Here is a 20,952-nt window from a genome sequence, read left to right as displayed (position 1 = left end):
TGTGGAAACTATCACGTTGTAATTGGAATACACCTTGATCTTGACTTTGACCTTGAAGACGATCCTATGGGGCTCATGTACCTTCACCTCTGCCCACATAGTCTGATTGAGAGACTCACTGAAGCTGGGCCATAGTCTTTCCAAGGGGCTGCTGTACCTTTTGGTCTCTTGGCCTTCTGCCTCAGCCTCTGTTTAGACTTGGGTCAAGTTTGATCCCTTCCTCTTTCTAAAATCTCATCCTTTTTCAGTGTTTTCCAAGTAGGTATAAACCATAAGGTCTTTTTGCATTAAGTGGTTAGAAAAAATTTGAAAAAGTAAAAACTTGAAGAGATTTTGAGCATGAGTTTGAGATAACCAGATTTCTTTTCCTTTTTTTTTTTTTCATATACATATATATATTGGAAAAATCACTCTGCCAGCTGCAGAGCATGGATTACTGCAGATTGAGGTTAGAGGCAGCAACAATAGTTAGGAAGATTGTTCTATTAATCTAAGTGAGAAACAAGGAAAGCCTAACCTAAGATAGTAAGATAGTGGCGGTGGAGACAGTGATGGGGAGATAGACATTAGACACTGATAAGACATGATGAATCACTTAGGGAGCTTTTGGCAGCAAGTAATAGGAAAACAAACAGCACACACCAGCTCCAGTAGTAAATAAATGTGTTTGGTAACCAAACATTAAGTCCAGAAAGGGGATGAATTTCAGTGACTTGCAGTGGCTCCTACTCTGAACATTCACTTGATCTTCCTGTCTGTTGTTCGTGTTGACTTCATTCTCAAGATGGTAGCAAGATGGTTACACCCATTCCAGACCTCATATCCACATATGAAGTCATCCAGAGAGAGAGGCTCATTTCCAGAAGCTAACTCGACAAGCTGGCCCTGAAAGGATAACCACCCCAGAAGCGCCTAGTAAACCTCTTTTTGGTTCTCGTTAGCCTATGGCCTATTCCCGAATCAGTCATTGGCCAGGGGTAATGGAATTACTGTTATATATGTTATATATGTGTCTCTGGAACATTCTTGAAGTTGATGGTAGGATTTACTTCTCCAGTAGCAAATGGATTGTGTCTAGATGGGGGGAGGAGAGAGAAAAAAAATGATCAAAATCAGGGTATTCTAGAAATGGGGGAGGGGGACACAGATGTGCAGTAGGCAGTCAACATCGTTCAATACCGTCAGTAACTGTTTTGGTGTGGGGAAGTGGAGGGAGCGATTGTCAGTATTCTCAGGCTTACTGAACTGGGTGATTAGATATTTTCATCAGGATAAGAAACAGGAGAATAAACAGCTTTGGGCAGAAGATCAGTTTTGATGAGAATGAGGTAGAGCTATGTAAAGATGTCAAATAGACATCTAAATAAGTAGTTAAACACAAGAGTTTGAAGCTTAGAAAAGGGTTTAAAAATATATATTTGGAAGTTGCACGCATATGGAATTATACAGCACAGGTGCAGGGTGAGGTCATTGTTGGATGCGATAACCCAAGAAAGTATGCCGCGTGAGGAGAGGGAAGATAAGCCTTCATCTCTAGAAAAGGCCAAAGTCTGACTTGAAATTAACTACCTTGATTTGCATATCAAAGGGGTGTTTCTTGAATTTGGATAGCTGTTGCAGTGAAAATTTCTACATAACTAAATGATTTCTAAACTCCATTTGACAGCTCATTATTTTTAAAGCCACATTCCTCCCCCACCTCTGACAAAATTCACTTAAAGAGTTTGGAAAGAACTTTGGAGTTAGTAGCAATAGGATTTCGCCTAAAATAGCAAATACTTCATGGATTGTAAAAATGTTTGGAATTCTTTTATGATACAAATAACCAGCTATGGTTAACAGGCCAGATGGCTTCTCCTGGAATGAAGACGTGTTTAGTGAACTTATAGTCGGTGACTTTGTAGTTGAATCTAATAAATTAAACTTGACAATCTTATAGGAGGGCTTTAGCAAGAGCTCAAAGAATATTAAGATCAAATCCAACTGAAAGTTTAGGCATCTCATTCTACCAAATTGAAAGTGAAATAACAAACAAATACAGGGAGAGGAATCATCTGATTTTGCTTGATTTTGAGGAGCTATGAGGACTGTAAGCCTGCCTCTCCTGGCTGGCAGAGACCACTTGGTAGGTGGCCCCACAGTGCTGGAATCCAGAAAAATCTCCCTCCAGAGTTGGCGTGATCAGATTCCAGAAGCACAGCCAGTCCTGCTTATTCATATGATCTGACCCAGCATGAAAGAGGACTGGGTCAGCAAAACTCCAAAGAAGAAAGCTAACCAGGCAGGCCCAGCCACCTCAGAGCTTTCTAGTTTCCTATTTAGAGGACATTTCTCACATACATAAAAAGATTGTCACAGACAACTTTTCTAAGCCAAAGAGTAAAAGGTTTTTTAATGCTACATAGAAGCGAACAAGGGGTCAGACCTGGCAAAGGCCCTGGGAAATTCAGGAAAAACGAAGGCTGAGACCTTTCTCCCTCCTTGCTCAGCTAAGTAATAGACCACTTAACTGATTAAGAAAGGAGAGGGTGGCCAGACGGGGGTTGGGGGTGGTGTAAGATTCCGCGAAGTCTAGGCATTTCCTTCCATCTCTAGAGTTCTGTGTCCCTGCAGTTGACAGAAATGGACAGGGATGCCCAGATTTCAGTACAGCTCAGCCACTCCCTGGCCATGTTACATTTCCTTTGATTCACTTTCTCCATTTTGAAAATAACTGGGTGGAGCTGATGATCCCTGAGGGAGTGTCAGTGTAGTGGTCAAAGGCAGATTACCCAGGCTTAAATCCTGGCTCAAATGTCTCTATGATATGATCTCGGGGGTCAAATCATAGAAAGATCTGCGAATCGGACAACCTCCAGAATCACATATCATATCATAGAAAGATATGACCCCTGAAGATCATATCTTTTTTCATTTTCATAGAAAAAAGAAAAGAAAAGAAAGGTAAAGAAAAGATGAAGGAAGTGAAGGAGTCAGTCAAGAAAAAGAAAAAGCTTTTCAACCTCCCAGTGCCTTAGGTTGCACACCTGCGAAAAGGATTTTGAGCCTGTGCAGTGCCCAGAGCAGTGCCTAGTACATAGTGAGCATCATTTTAGTGTTGGCGACTTTTATTCTAGCTCCAATTTTATGTAAATCTGTAATTCTAGGACAAGCAACTACCATGATCCTTTTAGCCCAAGTCAAGATTCCTAGGAAGTGCTTCAATACATATGAACACATCTTGAAAATATTCCTTGGCCAGAAACTAGGTTTGCTAAACTGCCTTTTTATTATTATTATTTCTAAGCCCTTTTAAGGACGGTTGTTTTCAAAATAAGGTAAAGGATTTTAATTTGGCTTCGTAATATCTTGTAAAACCATCCCCTACAGGGTATCTCTCCTTTGTATTAAATGGAGCTGTATTAGAATTAATTACCAGAAGAGATGGATGAGAGTCCACTGGCTGCTTGATGAGAACTCACTGCTCCCAGCTCAGTAACCTCCACACCCCAGACTAAGGTCGGCTGTAATTACAGGGGGATGAGAGAGGGGAACATGATCCAACTCTGAGGGGAAAAAAGCGACTTAAACCTTTCTTTCCCTGAGAAAGAAAAGTGGCTTGATTGATCATTCATCCATTCCTTTATCCATTCATTTGTTCGTCTATTCTTTTTCCTTCCCTCCTTTATCTCATAACCCTTTTACATTAGAAGTATGCACAAAAATCACTTGGGGTTACTTGTGTCAAAAGAAAACTTTAGACAAGTTAAATCTGATGGAGTTTAATTGAGAAAAAAAAATCCAAGGAAAAAAACAATTTGCAAATCAGACAACCTCCAGAATCACAGCAGATTCAGAGAGACTCCAGGGATGCCTCACGGTCTGAACAAATTTATAGACAAAAAAAGTAAAGTGACGTACAGCAATCGGAAGTGAGATACAGAAACAGTGGGATGGATTATCATTTGCCTTATTCAAACAGTTTGAACACCCAGCAGTCTATGAGGGGCTGAGGTATGGCCGCTGGGATTGGCCAACATTCAGCTATTAAGCTAGGTTACCATTCGTCCACAAGGACTCAAACATAGAAGTACGGAGTCTTTCTGGGGCCATATGTAGTTCACTTTGACCCTTGATAAAATGCAGATTTTAGTCTTTTTCTTCTCATTTCATGAGGTTAGATTGGAGTCACCAGTCTGCATTTTTAACTAGTACAGCAGAAAATTCTGATGCTTACAGCGTGGGCTTCAGTAAAACACTACTTGATGGTGAGGAATGGTAAATCCCAAGACCAGGCAGACTTGTGGGCAATGTGGATGGACTAATGATCTGATGACTCTTCAGAATGATTTTCTTTAAACATTTATTCAACATTTATATGATGACCTTTATTTGGTGACATATTTACATGAAAGCATATTTTAATTGATATTTATATTAATAGATATTCAGAAAAGATTTGCCTAATAATTCATCTATGTCCAAAGTAGGCTACATGCTGTAAAGAAAGCTCAGCGAAACAGAACTGCAATGCACATTATCCAGATTCAGAATTTGAGGTGGCTACAACTGCAAATTCCAGAGCACAATCATCTGGTCGAGAGTAGATTTGTGCTTGCAACATGCAAGTTTTTTGATATATAATTTTTTATTTTCATTTACCTTTGAGGGGACTCTGAAAGGCAGGACTAATTAACATTTCACCAGTTATCCAATTAGTCCCTGTGGAAACCTGAGTTAATTGGTATCATAATTTCTATTTATTGCATTGATATTTTAACGTCCTTTGCAGACTAGCATGATGTGTGGTTCCTCATCTCTCCTTCCTTTAATCTTTTCTAGGTAGGAAATGAGTAAAAGGAGTAAAAGGAGGAACTTCAGCTGGGATCGGTGGCTAATGCCTGTAATCCCAGCACTTTGGGAGCCCGAGGGGGATGGATCATGTATAAGGTCAGGAGCTTGAGACCAGCCTGACCAACACTGTGAAACCCCTTCTCTACTAAAAATACAAAAATTAGCCAGGTGTGGTGGCGTGCACCTGTAATCCCAGCTACTCAGGAGGCTGAGGCAGGAGAATGGCGTGAACCCGGGAGGCGGAGCTTGCAGTGAGCCGAGATCCCGCCACTGCACTCCAGCCTGGGCGACAGAGCGAGACTCCGTCTCAAAAAAAAAAAAAAAGGCGGGGTGAGGGTGGGCGTAGAGGAACTTCCGGGGATTGGGCCAGGCTCTAAGTGTCAGTCTCAGAATGAAAAGCTCACAGTCAATGGTCTGTCATGGTGTTGTTATCCAGTATATCCATGGTGCTGAGTCTCACTGCACTGCCACAGGACTCTTAGGAAAAGATGGTAGCAGTGGTTGAGAATGAACCTTGGAAAAGACCTCAGCCAGCAGTTACTACAGTAAAGAACCAGGGTCTAGGGAGTGGGATTCTGAGAAAAGATACTTGCAACAGTTACACAGGTGTCAGGACCCTGTCACCTGGCCTTAGTTCAAGGCAGAGCTCAGTCCCAGAGTAACTGGCAGCAACTCACATATGTGGATGGAATGTGTCCAGTGCATGCGGTGCATGCAGAACACCATGAATACCTAGGTGTTCAGGGATCTGCCTTAGGCCACAGGCTTCCCTGTTAGAGCAACTGGCCTAAGTCCCCTCTCAATCCATTGTTGGGGATGAATTGCTAAAAACTCTCTGTGATCCTATTCAGAATTGTCTGAAGATATAGGAAGAAATGTCTTAGAATTTAAACAACTGCTTCTAGCTCCCATTTCTGAGAAAAAAAAATGGGTAACCCAAAGAGTAGAGCCTTATTGAATATTCAACCTGTTGAAAGATAAATGCTGATCCCAGAAACTGTATCTTCAAAGGGTGAAGAGTTAAGGTAATGGTGTGATTTTCAGGTTTAAATGATGTTACCCACTTTTTTGGAGGCCTAATAACGTGCATGTAATTAAATCTCCAATTTTACACATCAAAAATTTCTCCTCTGCCCATGTATATTACACTGTGCTAAGTGTAATATACATGTTGGTGTGCAGATGTGTGAGTGTGTGTGTGCATGTGTGTGAGTGTGTGTGTGGGTTATGTGCATATGCGTACCTATTTCTGACTTATTCCTCACAATGGCCTTAAGAGTTGGCTCTGTTATTCCATTCTATGGATGAGCCAAATGAGTCTCAGAGAAGTTGAGTAACTTGGTCAAGATGACAAAGCTGGTGAGTGGTGTGACTGGTTTGGACTTTGTGTGCTTCTAGATCCTCCCTTCTTCATTGCTTTGCTCTGTGGTGGGAGGACACATAGCACAGCTAACAGAATACAGGGTGGGATGAACAGATACAGCTTCAAGTGGCAGATAAGCTCTTTTTTTTTTTTGACATGGAGTCTCGCTCTGTCGTCCAGGCTGAAGTGCAGTGGCACCATCTCGGCTCACTGCAACCTCCACCTCCCAGGTTTAAGCAACTGTCCTGCCTCAGCCTCCCAAGTAGCTGGGATTACAGGTGCCTGCCCCAAGCCTGGCTAATTTTTGTAGTTTTAGTAAAGATGGGGCTTCACCTTGTTGACCAGGCTGGTCTCAATCTCCTGACCTGAGGTGATCCGCACACCTCGGCCTCCCAAAGTGCTAGGATTACAGGCATGAGCCACTGCGCCCAGCCCGGATATGCTTTCAGCTAGCTTTGTAAACTTTCTTAATTCAGCGATTTTCCATTAATTGGAAAAAAAAAAGTTGCAAAGCATCTTTTATATCCTAAACACTATTTTAGTGAGAAAAAAAAAACAAGCAAGCAAACACACTTGTCTTTATAAACCTTATACTTTAACATAGAGTAGAGATGATGAACAGTAAACCTAGTAAGTGCATTACAAAATACAATACAAAATGTCATTACAAAGACATATTTAAAATTAAACACAAAAAAACCCTAATAAAATAACAAGTATTATATTGTTAACAAGTGATAAATCCTATGAGAAAACAAAAAGTGCAATGAAGGGACACTGGAAATGTGGGAGATGGGTATGCAACTGTTTACAATAGGGTGATCAGGATAGCCCAAGACTCATTGAGAAGGTGATATTTGGTAGAAAGAAAGAAAGAGAGAGAGAGAGAGAGAGAAAGGAAGAAAGGAGGGAGGGAGGGAGGGATGAAGTAAGGAAGGAGAAAGAAAGAAAGGAAGAAAACAAAGGAAGAAAGAAAGAAAGAAAGAAAGAAAGAAAGAAAGAAAGAAAGAAAGAAAGAAAGAAAGAAAGAAAGGAAGGAAGAAAGAAAGAAAGAAAGAAGGGAGGGAGGGAGGGAGGGAGGGATGAAGGAAGGAAGGAAGGAAGAAAGAAAAGAAAAAATAGAAAAGAAAAGGAAAGAAGAAGGAGGTGAAGGAGTTAGTCAATAGGATATCAGAGGAGAGAATACCAGGTGGAAACCGGTGTAAAGGCCTTGAAACTAGAGCTTGCCTGGCGTCATTGAGGAATAGCAGGTGGCTGGTATGGCTGCAGTGATGTCAGAGGATCATAAGCATCTATATCACGAAGGGACTCTTAGACCATAGTGGAAAATGGGGAGCTATTGCAAGGTCCCCAGCAGGGAAGTGGCAAGACCCAAACTTATTTCGTTTTTTTGTTTGTTTGTTTGTTTTTGAGACAGGGTAGCATAATTCCAGGTTCAGTCTTTCTCTTAACCAATGTGCTATACTGCTTCATGGACCAATCATTTTCCTTCCTGCCTGCCTTCCTTCCTTCCTTCCTTCTTTCCTTCCTTCCTTTCCTTCTTTCTTCTTCTTTTTTGTTTAAATAAGATATGGTCTCACTTCGTTGCCCAGGCTGGAGTGCAGTTGTGGTGATCAGTCCTCATTGCAGATTTGACCTCCTGGGCTCAAGCAATCCTCCTGCCTCAGCCTCCTGAGCAGCTAGGACTGCAGGCATGCTCCATCACGCCTGGGTAATTTTTTACATTTTTTGTATAGATGGGTTCTCACTGTGTTTTGCAGGCTAGTTTCAAACTCCTAGCCTCAAGCCATCCTCCTGCCTGGGACTTCCACAGTGTTGAAATTACATGCATGAGCCATTGTGCCTGGCCTGAGCTTACTTTTTGCAAAGAATTTCTCTGGCTGTTGTGCCGTTGAGAGACAAGAGAGAAAGCAAGGAAACCCATCATAATGAGGTCATCACAATGTCCAGGCAAAAAAGGACGGCGGCTTGCCCTGAGGTAGCAGTAATGGACATGAGAGGAAAATTGCTCAAATTCTGCATTTCGTTTAAGGTTAGAACCAATATGTTTCCTTGATGGGTTTGATGTAGGATGCAGAGTGAGAGAGAAGGAGAGGAGTGAGTCAGAGATGCCTAGGAATTTGGGAATGAACATCTGAAAGGATGGTGTTGTCTCTACTGAGAAGGGGAAGACAAAGAAATTAGTAGGTTTGGGGTCAATATCAGATGCTCCCGTTGAAACACGTGATATGTGAAATAACTATTAGGCACCCAAAGGAAGTTTTTAAGTATTCCATTTGATCCATGACTCTGGAGTTTAGAAGAGAAGTCTGAGCATCAGAGCGGACGCTGCAGGCCCCGGAGTCATCTGCACACAGCTAGCGTTATCAGGCCAGCTCCTGCAGAAACAGGGACACATTCAAAAGCTCCAACGGAAAAGAATCAAATCGGGGGCTGTCTAAAGGGATGTTGGCAGGATAGAAGGGATTTACAAGGAATGGTGGGCACCCAGCGAACAGCAGAGGTGGAAAAGCCATTACCACGTTTCGGGTTGAAGAAGCCGAGAGGGAACAGTGTGTCTGAAGCAGTGAGAGTTAGAACCCTGGAAAACTCCCGCTCCTGCAGTTTCTGTCTATGGGCAGAGCAGACAGGAGCCAGTTGGCACGGGGGCCTGGGTAGCGTGATCTGCAGCCTTAGCTTCCTGTGGCATGAACTAGGCCGAGGAGGCTGGAGGAAGAATCTGAAGGTACAAGGCAAAAGAATGAATCAGCAGCACAGATTGTATGTAAAGCCTGAGGCTAGGTATGATCACTAAGGCAGTAAAAGTAAGCAGCCAGGAGAAGAAAAAGAACTGAGTCTGGGACTCTTCCTCATGAAAAGGTTTGGAAGAAGAGGAAGAACTAGCAAAGGCCACTACAAAGAAATAGCCTGTGAGATAGGACCAGGAGCAGAAACTATGAAATCCAGGAAGCTAAGAGAAGAACAAGGGAGGGAGTGTGATCAAGGGGGAGAGTGTGATCTCTGCATCAAATGCACCCAATGTGTCAAATAAGATGCAGACTGACAGCTGAGCTGTGGAGTTAGCAACATGGAAATTATTGGTGTCTGGGACTCTAACTAAGTCTCCTCATTTTTTTAGAGGTAGTTTAATCATTTTTTGCTCTGTCTCTCTACTTTCTCATTTTCCCAGCTCCCTGTTTCCTATTTAGCTTTTCAAAAATGCAAATATAACCTTACACCTCTGTTTCACCAGACATTACCTCCAGGGCAAGTTTTTCTAATTATGTACTCCTGCAGATCTCTCCTTGATCTGTCGACAGTCAGTTTGCAGAACAAAGCATACCTGCCATGGAACTTTCACCTCCAGAGGTTTGCCTGGAAACTTCCATCCTTCCTGGGTTGACTCGGAACTTTTGTCCACCTGCTTGGCCAATTTTAAAACTTTCTTCTGCCCAGGAAAGCACCAGCTCAACTGTCCGATAGACAAGACACCAAGCTAACTGAGGTACCCCTGTCCTTACTCATTTCCTCCCCTATCTTATAAAAATAACTGTTTTCTGCTCCAAAGGTGACGAGGCACATTTAAAGACAGGATACTTTGTGCCCCTTCCTCCAAACTAGCTTCTGAATAAATTCATTTTTTAAATTTTTAAAATCAGACCTCTTTCTTATTAATTAAACTGTACATGCGATGAGCAACTAACCTGCTTTTGGGTTACAGGACAAGCACTTTTTCAGCAGAGTTGGGGGAGAGGGAAATGCCTCTTGAGAGTACCCTCAAGGGGGACAGGATGAGAGGGGTTTCCGACAGCAAGAGAAAAGTCTTTCTGGGAGTTTTGCTGCAAAGAGGAGCAAAACAGTGGGGCAGAAAGTGGGGAATGAACCAAAGGTCAAGATAAATATGTTTTAGGTGAGTAAATAACAGCGTGTTTCCATGACGTTGGGAAAGATCTAAAGAGACAGAGAAATGAATCAGGATAAGGAAGAGAGAATTCCTAAAGTGATGTCTTGTCCTGGTCCATGCTTCGTCCATGGAATAGCATCCTAATTTGCCATTTTTGGGGGCTGCTTGGAGTGGGATGGGACACAATGAAAGTATGTGACCTGCTGACAAGGTCAGACACTCAGCGCCAACCTTCCCCACCTACCCTGCCTGGCTTTTAGAGCATCCATAATCTCCTCCTCAAGTTAGATGGAGCAGGGACCCTGTTTTTAGGGGCCTGTGGGTCCCCAAGCATGGAAATAAAGGAAAATACTGAGTTCCTTCAAGGGAAATTCCAGGCACCCAGCTAGTCCTGAGAAGTAAATGAGTAGCTTGATAAGCAAAAGGTAATAGTAACTTAAAACAATAGCCAAAGAAGTTAGAGTCATAAGAGGTTTGGTTCCCCTATAGAAACTAAAGGTAACATCTTGATATATGTCCCTGAGTTGTTTTTCAGGAGCCTGGACCGCCACCAAAGACTCCCAGCAAACAGATCTGCTGGCACACAGACCTCAGAAAAGGGGGTTCTGAAGATGGGACTCTGACCACCTTTCTTTGTTCTAAAGTTCTTCTTGAGGGGCCTGGAGGGAGTTGCATTCACAAACTGGAGCTAACATTCCTTTCTGCTGATCCCAAATTTTTGAACAAAGCTTTTCTGTCTTAGCCAGTTGCTATCAGAAAATCTTCCAATCTACCTATGATTTGTAAAAGCCTCCACCTCAAGATACCCCACTCTTTTAGGCCAAAAGCAACATGTACCCTCCATGTATTGATTTATGATTTTGCCTGTAACTTCTGCTTTCCTGAAGTATACCCCTGCCTTTAAAAACCCTTACCTGAGAGCCACCAGGGAAGTCAGAATTAGAATGTTAGCTTCCTGGTCCTCCTTGCCTGGCACCCTGGGAAAAACACCTTCCTTTTTCCCATTGCAAACATTGGAATGGATATCTGGTCTTACTGCAATGGGCAAGCAGATCCCAGTTCAGTTCTATAACACAAGGGCAGTAACAGGGAGTTATCTGGCACCTAGTATGCACCAGACACTGTACTTCATAGACATTAACTCAAACCTCTACAACAACCAGAGCTTTATGTCTAATTTCTGGAACACGATATTTGCATGACAGTATTTCAGAGGGTAAGAAACTTATAGGCCATAGCTCCCAGGAGGCAGAACCAAGACACAAATCCTGGTGTTTGTGACAAAGCCCTTATTCTATTTGGTCTCCCCGTCCAGCCTCATAGTTAACTTTGCTTTTTCTGTATCACCTCTCTCTTTCCTAATTCTGTCTGGGTTTTTCACTATCTATTCATTGTTCTCCAAAATCTCTACCTCCTCACCCCCAGCCACTTTCTCCTCATTAAAAATCATCTCTGATAACATTAATATTTAGTACGATCAGGTTCCCCATCCAAGAAGTACTATTTTTCCTTTAAAATGGGATCTTCCTGCAAAATTTAGACTTTCCCTTTTCCCAGGATCAGTCTCTAATAGTGGAATTTCATGCATGACAATTGGTAAAGGAAAGAACAGGGTCTTCCAAAAGCCAAGGAAATCTAGCTGTGAAGACCAGTATCTTGTGCCTCTGAAAGATTGTTCTGTCTCTTCATGCTATTCGTTCAGACAACTACTTATTCTTCAATTCGAGTTCTCAAGAATTTATGACCTTAGCATCTTGGCAGGTCATAACTGAACTGCCTGTTTTCCTAGCTTAAAGTTGATCAATGCTGTTGTCTACCCCATTAGAAATGCTTCTCTCTGTGTCTCTCTCTAGCTCTTTTTCTATCTCCTGTTCTTTCTTTTTCTTGCTCTGTCTGTCTCTCTCTCCTCTCTCTGTTACACACACATTGCTCTTCCTAAAAAAGGAATCTTTCACCCAAGCTCTACTTCCTTTTTGCCCATGGTGCTTAGAACATGAAGAAGATTTGGGGAGGATGGAGTGACCTGCCACTGTTGCTAATAGGTCGGATTGATATCGCAAAATGCGCCACATCCTTCTTCATTTTCTCATCATGGGACAATCGATAGCCTTGCTTTGCCTGTAAACCTTCTGCAAAGGTTGAACACTTTTTACCTCCTGAACTGGGCATTCTCACTGCAAGGTACCAGAGGCAGAAAAGGAGGGTCTGGTACTGAATTTGCCGAGTTTGAGTGGCTTGTGCTCATTGCCCTATGGTCCCCATGGAGCACCCATGTTCACAGATGTGCAGGTGTGAATGAGGGAGCATGAGTGTGTGGGTGCCTGCATGTGCATGTATTTCCTAAATGTAAGTAGATCAAAAGCATCTACTGCAATTTACCTTCAGGGAACTTAACTCACTAGAAGAGATACAAAGTGCAGAAGGATGTATTCTTCCCTGTAAATTAATGCCATATGGAAAACCTTTTTTTTCTGATGACTTGATGCAGCAGGCATTTGGTATAGGGAAGTAACAGTACCTGCTTTTCAATGATGCTGCTGCTCTGCCCTAGCTTATCATGCTCACTCTGGATCCAAAGATACGTGCTCTGATAAAGGACCTGTAGGACAACGTTTCTGACCTTAGGCAGACCAAGCCATGCCTCTATATTGTGACTCGAAAGGTTGGAAGGTTCTCTTTACCCCAAACAGAAATGACACTTCCTCCAGGACCAGCACAATGCCTCAGCCTCTTGCATGGCTAACTACCCCAGGGTTAGACATTGCAGGCAGCAGCTAAAATGTAAACATAATGTGTGTGTGGTGGGGGAGGGAGAGTAGTATATCAATCCATTTGTATGATTCGGATATTTGTCCCCTTCAAATCTCATGTTGAAATGTTATTCCCAGTGTTGGAGGTGGGGCCTGATGGGAGGTATTTTTGTTACAGGGGAAGATCCCTCATGAATGGCTTGATGCTGTCCTCAAGAAGGTGAGTGTGTTCTTGCAAGATCTGGTTGTTTAACAGTGTGCAGCACCTCCCAGGCCCCTTGTTTTCCCTCTTGCTGTGATGTGCCTGCTCCTGCTTCCTCTTCTGCCATAAGCAAAAGCTCCCCAAGGCCTCCCCAGAAGCCAAGCAGGTGCCAGCACCATGCTTCTTGTACAGCCTGCAGGACTGTGAGCCCATTAAACCTCTTTTCTTTGTTTATTACTCAGCCTCAGGTATTTCTTTACAGAAATGCAAAAGAAGGGCCTAACACATCCATTCATTCCTGATTGTGAATTAGTATATCAAATTAGTGTTAGACTTCTGGAAATTTCTGAAAGAATGAGAGCCAGGAAGGGGGAGTTGGGCAAAATGCAGCACCCCATGGGTGTTCACATCAGAGTCCTTGGCACCTGTGCACATGTTACCTCACATAGCAGAAAGCACTTTGCCAATGTCCTTAAGTTAAGGACCCTTGAGATGGAGACACATCAGGTGTGTAACTAGCAAAAGGGTCAGGGTGCTCAATGCTTGTAGAAAGAAGTCAAATATAATAACCAGTGATAAGAGGGAGCGACATTTTCCTTTATTCTCTATGCTAGCAGAGGAAGAGCAGTAAACAATTCCACCTTCAATCTGTGGTGGGAACACAGGGGTTTTTAAAGCAGGGTCTGGAATGCAGAAGAGGCAAGGGGGGCTCAGAGGTGCCAGGTGGTATGACTTGCTGTGTGATCCTTTTGAATTATGGTCACATTTGGTGAAGGGGCTGGCACCATCATGGATCCTGCCAGGTTATAAGTGAGTTATTCTTCACCCAGGTTTGGGTTCCGACCTTGAAGTAATCTTTTGTTGGAGTGAGAATTCCAGCAGTGTCTGGTCTCTATCAGGATCTGACTCCTAAAGCTTCTAAGGAAATATATGACCAGATAAGAGAACATGGTGTGTGTTTAACAAGCACTTAGGTAAATAAATATGCATAAGGCATGTGAGCATAGCAGGGGGAAGGAAAGGGAGTAGGGGGTCACAGCACAGTCCAAGGTTGTATTTTAACATAAGAGGTAACATACATGCAGCTGGTTTCAAAGTTATGATGTTGAGACTTGGGGTAGGGAGAGGAAAAGGGCAAGAAGAAGGAAAAAAAGTTCAAAATGCAGTTTGTGGCTCAGCTGCTAAGCTGCTGGTTACAGGTGGACCCCGTAAAATATGGTATATATACAAAATGGAATACTATTCAGCCATAAAAAAGGATGAAATTGATAGAGGGGCAGGAGGCAGACAGATACCTGGGCAGATAGGGGAACCTGCACAGGGGGATACCCCACATGGACTGGGAGAATAGAGTGGAGCCACCAGAAATATGTGCCTTATGCAAGGGAGGAGCCTGGCCTCTTCAACTCACGTGTGTGGCCTGGTATTCAATTTGTGAGGTGGAAACCTGTGTGCAAGACCTCTCTTTTTGTTGAGAACTTTCGTTTCACTTAATCAATTCCACCCTGCTCACCTTTCAATTTGTCGGCATGTCTAATTTTTCCTGGTTATGAGACAAGAACCTAGATTTATCTGAAATAAGGAGAAAAAAATCCTGCATCAAAATCATTCTTTTGCAGCAACGTGGATAGAAATGTGGGCTATTAATTAAAATAACTCACAAACAGAAAGTTACAAATATCACACATTCTCACTTATAAGTGGAAGCTACATAATGTATACACAGACAGAAAGAGTGGAATAATAGACATTGATGACTAGGATGGGTGAGAGGGTAGAAGAGTTGAGGGATGAGAAATTACATAGTGAGTACAGTGTACATTATTTGGGTGACAATTACACTAAAAGCCCAAATTTTACATAATATATCCATGTAACAAAACTACACTTGTACCCCTTAAATTTATGCAAACAATTTTTTTTAAGTAGAGGGAGGAGGCAGAATAGGAGAGTCAGAGAATGCTCTGTGAAGCAGAAGCAAGGTCAGAATAATGTTGTGTGAGAAGGATGCAACCTGCTTCTGCTGGCTCTGAAGATGAAGGAAAAGGCCAGGAGCCAGCGTGCATTGATGCTTCCTAGAAGCTGGAAAAGGCAAGGAAGCAAGTTCTTCCCTAGGGCATCCAGAAAGGAGCACAGACAGTCCTACCGACAGCTTGATTTTAGCCCCATGAGGCTAGTGTTGGATGTCTAACCTACGGAACTAAAAGAGAATAAATTTGTTGTCTTTTCAGCTACTAAATCTGTGTTCATTTTTTGTGACATCAATAGGAAACAAATATAGAAAGTGAGCTTTGAAAGAAAAGAGAGAGTCCAGACCACCTGAATTTTGGGAAGGTACCTGAGAGGGCAGGCTAGGTTGGTAAATGGAGCCCAGGGAAGACATGAGGTAGCCCCAAGGAGCTTCTGGGGAGAAATAAGAGATGGGGTAAACAGGAGCCAAGACAAGGGCATCCCTCACTTAAGGCCTCTGGTGCCATTCATGCCGGAAATGCATCTCCAGGAGCCCAACTCTGAAAGGTGCTGAGGGAGGCAGGGGTCACAGAGAAACACAAGGAGCACGCCCCCAGCCACCAGGCTGGGCACAGAGACACAGCAGTCTGGCAGGTGCTGTCCTGGCCACTGCAGCTTCTCCTCCAGATCATCCAAGGCATTTCACGTTCCAGGGCCCTTGGCCTCCATGTTCAATCTTGGCTCATCCTCTGATGAAAGATATCAGACCGAGGCCAGAGAGGACTTTCTCTCAACCCCAGCAAGTCTCAACCATTCAGGCTGGGAGAGTTCATACCCTATGATTTGAGGCTTGTCAGATACAGCTTGACAGACAAAACCTATGAGAAACAAAGCATGGGAAGGAGGATGGCAGGGTAGATAACTGTTTCCAGAAAGCAACTTAAACTTTTCAACCTGGCTGGTGTGGAAAAAAATATTAAGTTTCGAAAATATACAGTATCTTCAGGTGGTGGCTAAAGCACTGAAACCAAAACACGCAGGAACATAATTTCCTAGGACAAAGAACTCATAATCTGGAGGAGTGCAGTGGTGCAGTCATGGCTCACTGCAGCCTTGTACTACTGATCCAAGTAATCCTCCTGCCTTAGCCTCCCAAGTAGCTGGGACTATAGGTCTCTGCTGCTTTTTTTTTTTTTTTTTTTTTTCTTAGCAACAAGGTCTTGCTGTGTTGCCCAAGCTGATCTTGAACTCCTGGCCTCAAGTGATCCTGCCACCTTGGCCTCCCAAAGTACTGGGATTATAGGCAAGAGCCACCACACCTGGCAACAACTTGTAGCTTCTAGGGAGAAATTTTATTTCCATTTTGCCTGGATCTTAAGTACTGTCTGCCGAGTGGCACAAGGTGGTTGGTAATGATGAACCAAATCAGCAAGGCTGATTTTTCTGGAAATTATCTTCATGTATACTCATCCAACAGGTATGAGAATTATATGAAAGGAGGGGAGCTTGGTGCATCTTACACAGTGACAAGAGGTTTGTAATAGGAGGAAGAGAGACATTTCTCTTCTCTTCCCCTTTAAAAGATGCCAGAAGTATGTAACATCTGAATCAGGAGCTTTGTGACATGCATTTCTCCAGGTGATTGGTTTCATAGACGATTGCCCATAAGCATTTCTCAGCCCTATCTCTACACTCCTGAGAATATCTGAACTATGGACAATCATTCTTATCACAATGTAATATTAAGAAGTGAAATGATCAGAAAATACTATATCAAATGCCAAGAGCATAGACTGGAAATAGACACTGATAATTGCTAGTTAAATGTGGCTATGAAACGCATTTCCTTCACCTGTCTTAGCAGAACACGTATTCTTTTCTCTGATGACATTCGAGGCCCGGCGGCACATGCTTCAGTTTGCAGCTCCCCAGCTCTCAGGAAACCCGTGGAAACTGCAATGTCTCACCTGCACCCTGCCACCGGGGTAAGCTCCCTCCTTGCTCAAGCTTGTTTGGGTCCCTAACATGCCCTAAATGAGATCACTGGGCAGAAAACCCTCTCCAGCCTGCCTCAGGGAGGCCCTCTGGGTGCCACCTTCGAGGATCTATGGACCCCAAAGTGATCTCTGAGCAGCTTTCCCTCATCACTGAACTCTCTTCCCCCATGAGGTGGAAAAGCTTGTTTCCTAGCACTCTGCCACCACACTGCCTTTCTCCATTCCCACTCAGTCCCTGCCTTTTGTCCTTCACTGACCAGTGGCATAATTTTAATCTCTGAGAGGCTCCCTAGAGCGCTCTTCTGGGTGATGGCCTCTGTGCTTCTGTTTACGTTATTCAGTGTGGCTGCTCTCACTGCTGGGGGCTGACAGCTTAGTGACAGTAATCTGAATTCTCCTTTCCTGGGGACCCAAAAGTATGAAAACCTCAGTAGGTTTTGGTAAAGTGCTTAGATTTTATAGATTTAGAATCTATTACACAGGTGCAGATAGTGGAATCTAAGAATATTAGGAGGAGGAGAGAAAAAAGGAAGAAAGGCCAGGTGTGGTGGCTTACACCTGTAATCCCAGTGCATTGGGAGGCCAAGGAGGGAGCATCGCTTGAGGCCAGGAGTTCGAGGCTGCAGTGAGCTATGATGGCACCACTATACTCCAGCCTGGGGGACAGAGCGAGACCCCATCTCTAAAAACTAATTTTAAAAAAAGAAAGGAGGAAGAGGAAAAAGTAGAAAAGGAAACAAAGAGGAGAGTTTTTAAAAAAAGTGTTAACTTCTAAAACTGAAGAGGAAAAACCATACAGAAAAGATCATAACAAGCAACCAAATATAATTTCTACTCCCATGGGGCAAAAAGGGTCACTTCCAAGTATTCTGCCACAATGCCACGGGGAGAATAGCTCTCTCCTTCCCAGCACTTGGTGGTCCTTCCGTCCCTCTACAGGCTGATAAGAGCAAGCAATGCCCACGCCTGGAATCCGTCTACCCAACCAGGCTAGGTTTCTGCTCAATTTAGATCACCTCCAGGAGACACACAGGGCACCTTGCCCTTCTCCACAGCCACTGGGATGAAGGGAGGAGACTACGCAGGTGCCCAGAATGCAAAGCAGCCCGCAGCAAAAGGTACACTTGGTGCCCCTGTATGGCCCTTGGCACAGGGTCCTTGACTCCTCCCTCTCATTACACCTCTATCTCCACCCTCTCTCTGTTCTAATTGGAACCCTGTGACTGCAGGAACCCCCAAATATCATAATCAAACAGGCTTCCAAGTCTGTAGGGAGCTGATGGGTAAATAAACCACTGCATGAAAAAGCCATAGAAGATAGACATTGATCTGAACTTGGAGGTAAAGTGTGTGAAATTGTTTATAAATTGTCCGGAGAATTGTAGGCACAGAAGTGGGACGCCAGCTCTCTCATCCTCTCTTGGCTTTTGCACAGCATTAATTAACTCTCCCATAGGAAATAGCATGCTCCTTAAAGCCAGGCAGGCCTGGATTCGAATCCTGCTTTTAATCCTTACTAGATGTCTGAATTCAGAGTAGTCACGTTTTCATTGCCACAACTTCTTTGGAGAAAAAAATATTTATTGGAGTCATTGTACTCAGAATGAAATGAGGTTGGCTACCTGAACAACCTAGAACAGGGACTGGCATTTACTAGCTGCTCCTTTAATGCTTCTTTACTCCATAGCATTCCTTGGATTTGCTAGAACGAAGATCCTGAATTTTCGCCTTTCCTTCCCGTAGGAGCTAACCATGCTGTCTTCTCCCTCAAGCCTGCTTTTCCTCCAGATCTCCTAATCTCTGTGAAGGCTCCTGGGCTGGATTTACCTTGTCCCTGGCCTGAGACCCTCTCCCTACCCCTTCCACTCTGCCCTCCTTGCCTGCAAGGGTCACAGCTGCAGGCTAAGGTGCACATTGTCTCCAGCTGTGTGTGTCCATGCTCCTGAGAGTCTCAGCAGGAGATCAGAGGGAGCAAGGAGGGTGAAGACAGGAGTTTACTCTCTTGGCTCCTTCCCTGTGAGGTCAGCTGGGGCTGGCTGAGCCCTCACCTGAAGCCCAGCGCTCTTCATAAGGTGTCTGCCTTTTAGGACTTGCCCTCTTGATTCTGAAAACCAATTCCTACCTTTGAACTTAGCCCCAGGCTCCTACACAGTCCCTTATAGTTGCCCTGCACCCTGCCAACACCTTTCTAACTGCACTCCTTGTAAAAAACAACAATAACAACAACAAACAAAGAATTCACGTTATTCTAATTTGAGAGGTCACTTGTTCCTTGTAGGAATTCTAACTCAATCATGGCCAGCATCTCTCCTGGTCCTCAAATCAAGAATCTAGAAGTTATTTTATTCTTTTTTCTCTTATATTAATACCTCTAATCCATGCTAGCCCTCAAGCCTTGTCAGATTTACCACCCAAATATCTGTGGAAGTGGGCGTTCCCTTCTATTCCCAGGGATTGCCCTCTTAGCTGAGATCCCTGTCCTTGGTTTTTTGAGTCTCTGAATGGTTTCCCTGCCTCCATTCTCATGACTCCTCAATCCACCCTTTCTTCTCCCAACAGAGTGGCCTGCAGATCCTCTCCCAGATTCCCAGCACTTAAGAGAGTCTCCAAACGACCCATCACGGCAACGAGATGCATTACGATGCCACATTTGGTCAACTTCCCACGTCCCCACCCTGTGCCCCCTTCTCTACCCTCCCTCAGGCCAAATAGAAACCCTAGTGTCCACCATCTGTGATCACATCATAGGCAAATGCAGGGAGACTGTTGGAATGAGAGAAACAGGAATATGGAGAAGAAGTGCTTCTTTCTTTATATATTTGTTTCTTCTAGAGACAGGGTCTTTTTCTATCACTTAGGCTGGCGTGTAGGGGCGCCATCATAGCGCACCACGGCCTTGACCTCTTTGGCTCAAGTGATCCTCCCGCCTCAGCTTCCTGAGTCACGGGGACCACAGATATATGCCACCTTGCCCAGCTAGTTTTCACAAAATTTTTGAAGAGATGGGGTCTCGCCATGTAGCCCAGGCTGATCCTGAACTCCTGGGCTCAAGCTCAAGCAATCCTCTAGCCTTGGCCTCCCAAAGGGTTGGGATTACCGGTGTGAGCCACCTCGCTCAGCAGGAAGCGACAATTTAAATGAATGGTGTTTTCTGACTCCTGCTGTGCTAGATGAACACGCTCTCTTCCCTTAGATGTGGTGGGCTGAGAGCTAGGAGTCATTACCCTTATGAGCCTTCACTCCTTCCCTAGTGTACGCATGTTACCACTCAGCCTAGAGTTTGAAGATGAACATGATTTGTTGAGCATGACTTCAAAACTGAAGCCAATTCTTCATCTGCTGCTTAGATGAAGAAACACAATCTTGCTTCAGTAATGAAAACAATATCTGTTGGATACAGTAAGAAATGATATGTCAGTCCTCTAAGGTATTTCCAAGAGTATATTGACTATTGTGGCCTTCCCCTCCTCTGCTGGTTCATGCAACACATGGTCTGGGAATATCCCACCTCCTTCATGCCAAGGTAGTTTGCACATCCCTCTCACCTACCAGGAGCATCCTCCCAGGGTTTCTTACTCAGGTTAAAACCTGCATAAAGCATAAAGTTCTCCATGACTCTGCATAAAGCAGGAAAATGCTCCTTCCTTTTTTCCCCTGAAAGTCCTTAGTACACGTTTCTATTCGAATTTTCATCTCCTTGTTTTGTAACTGGTTACTGGCCTATCTTTCCACTGGACTGTGAGCTCCTTGAGGGCAAATGTTAGTTCATCTTCTTATCCTCTGTGTACCTTGCCTTTCTTTGTCACCCACCATCATTCTGCTAGGGTTCCAGCTCAAGATCACACCACCACCTGGAATAATGTTCTCAGCAAAGCTGCAGAGCTGTGGTCCTTTACTAAATGTGACCCCTACTTCTGCTTTGTGACCTGAGATAGGCATGGTTGCACCAACAAGCCACCAGGCACTTTGCTCCA

This window comes from Homo sapiens, chromosome 8 (assembly GCF_000001405.40).
Source record: "Homo sapiens chromosome 8, GRCh38.p14 Primary Assembly".
In the NCBI taxonomy this organism is placed as follows: domain Eukaryota; kingdom Metazoa; phylum Chordata; class Mammalia; order Primates; family Hominidae; genus Homo; species Homo sapiens.
This window is presented reverse-complemented; position numbering follows the sequence as displayed.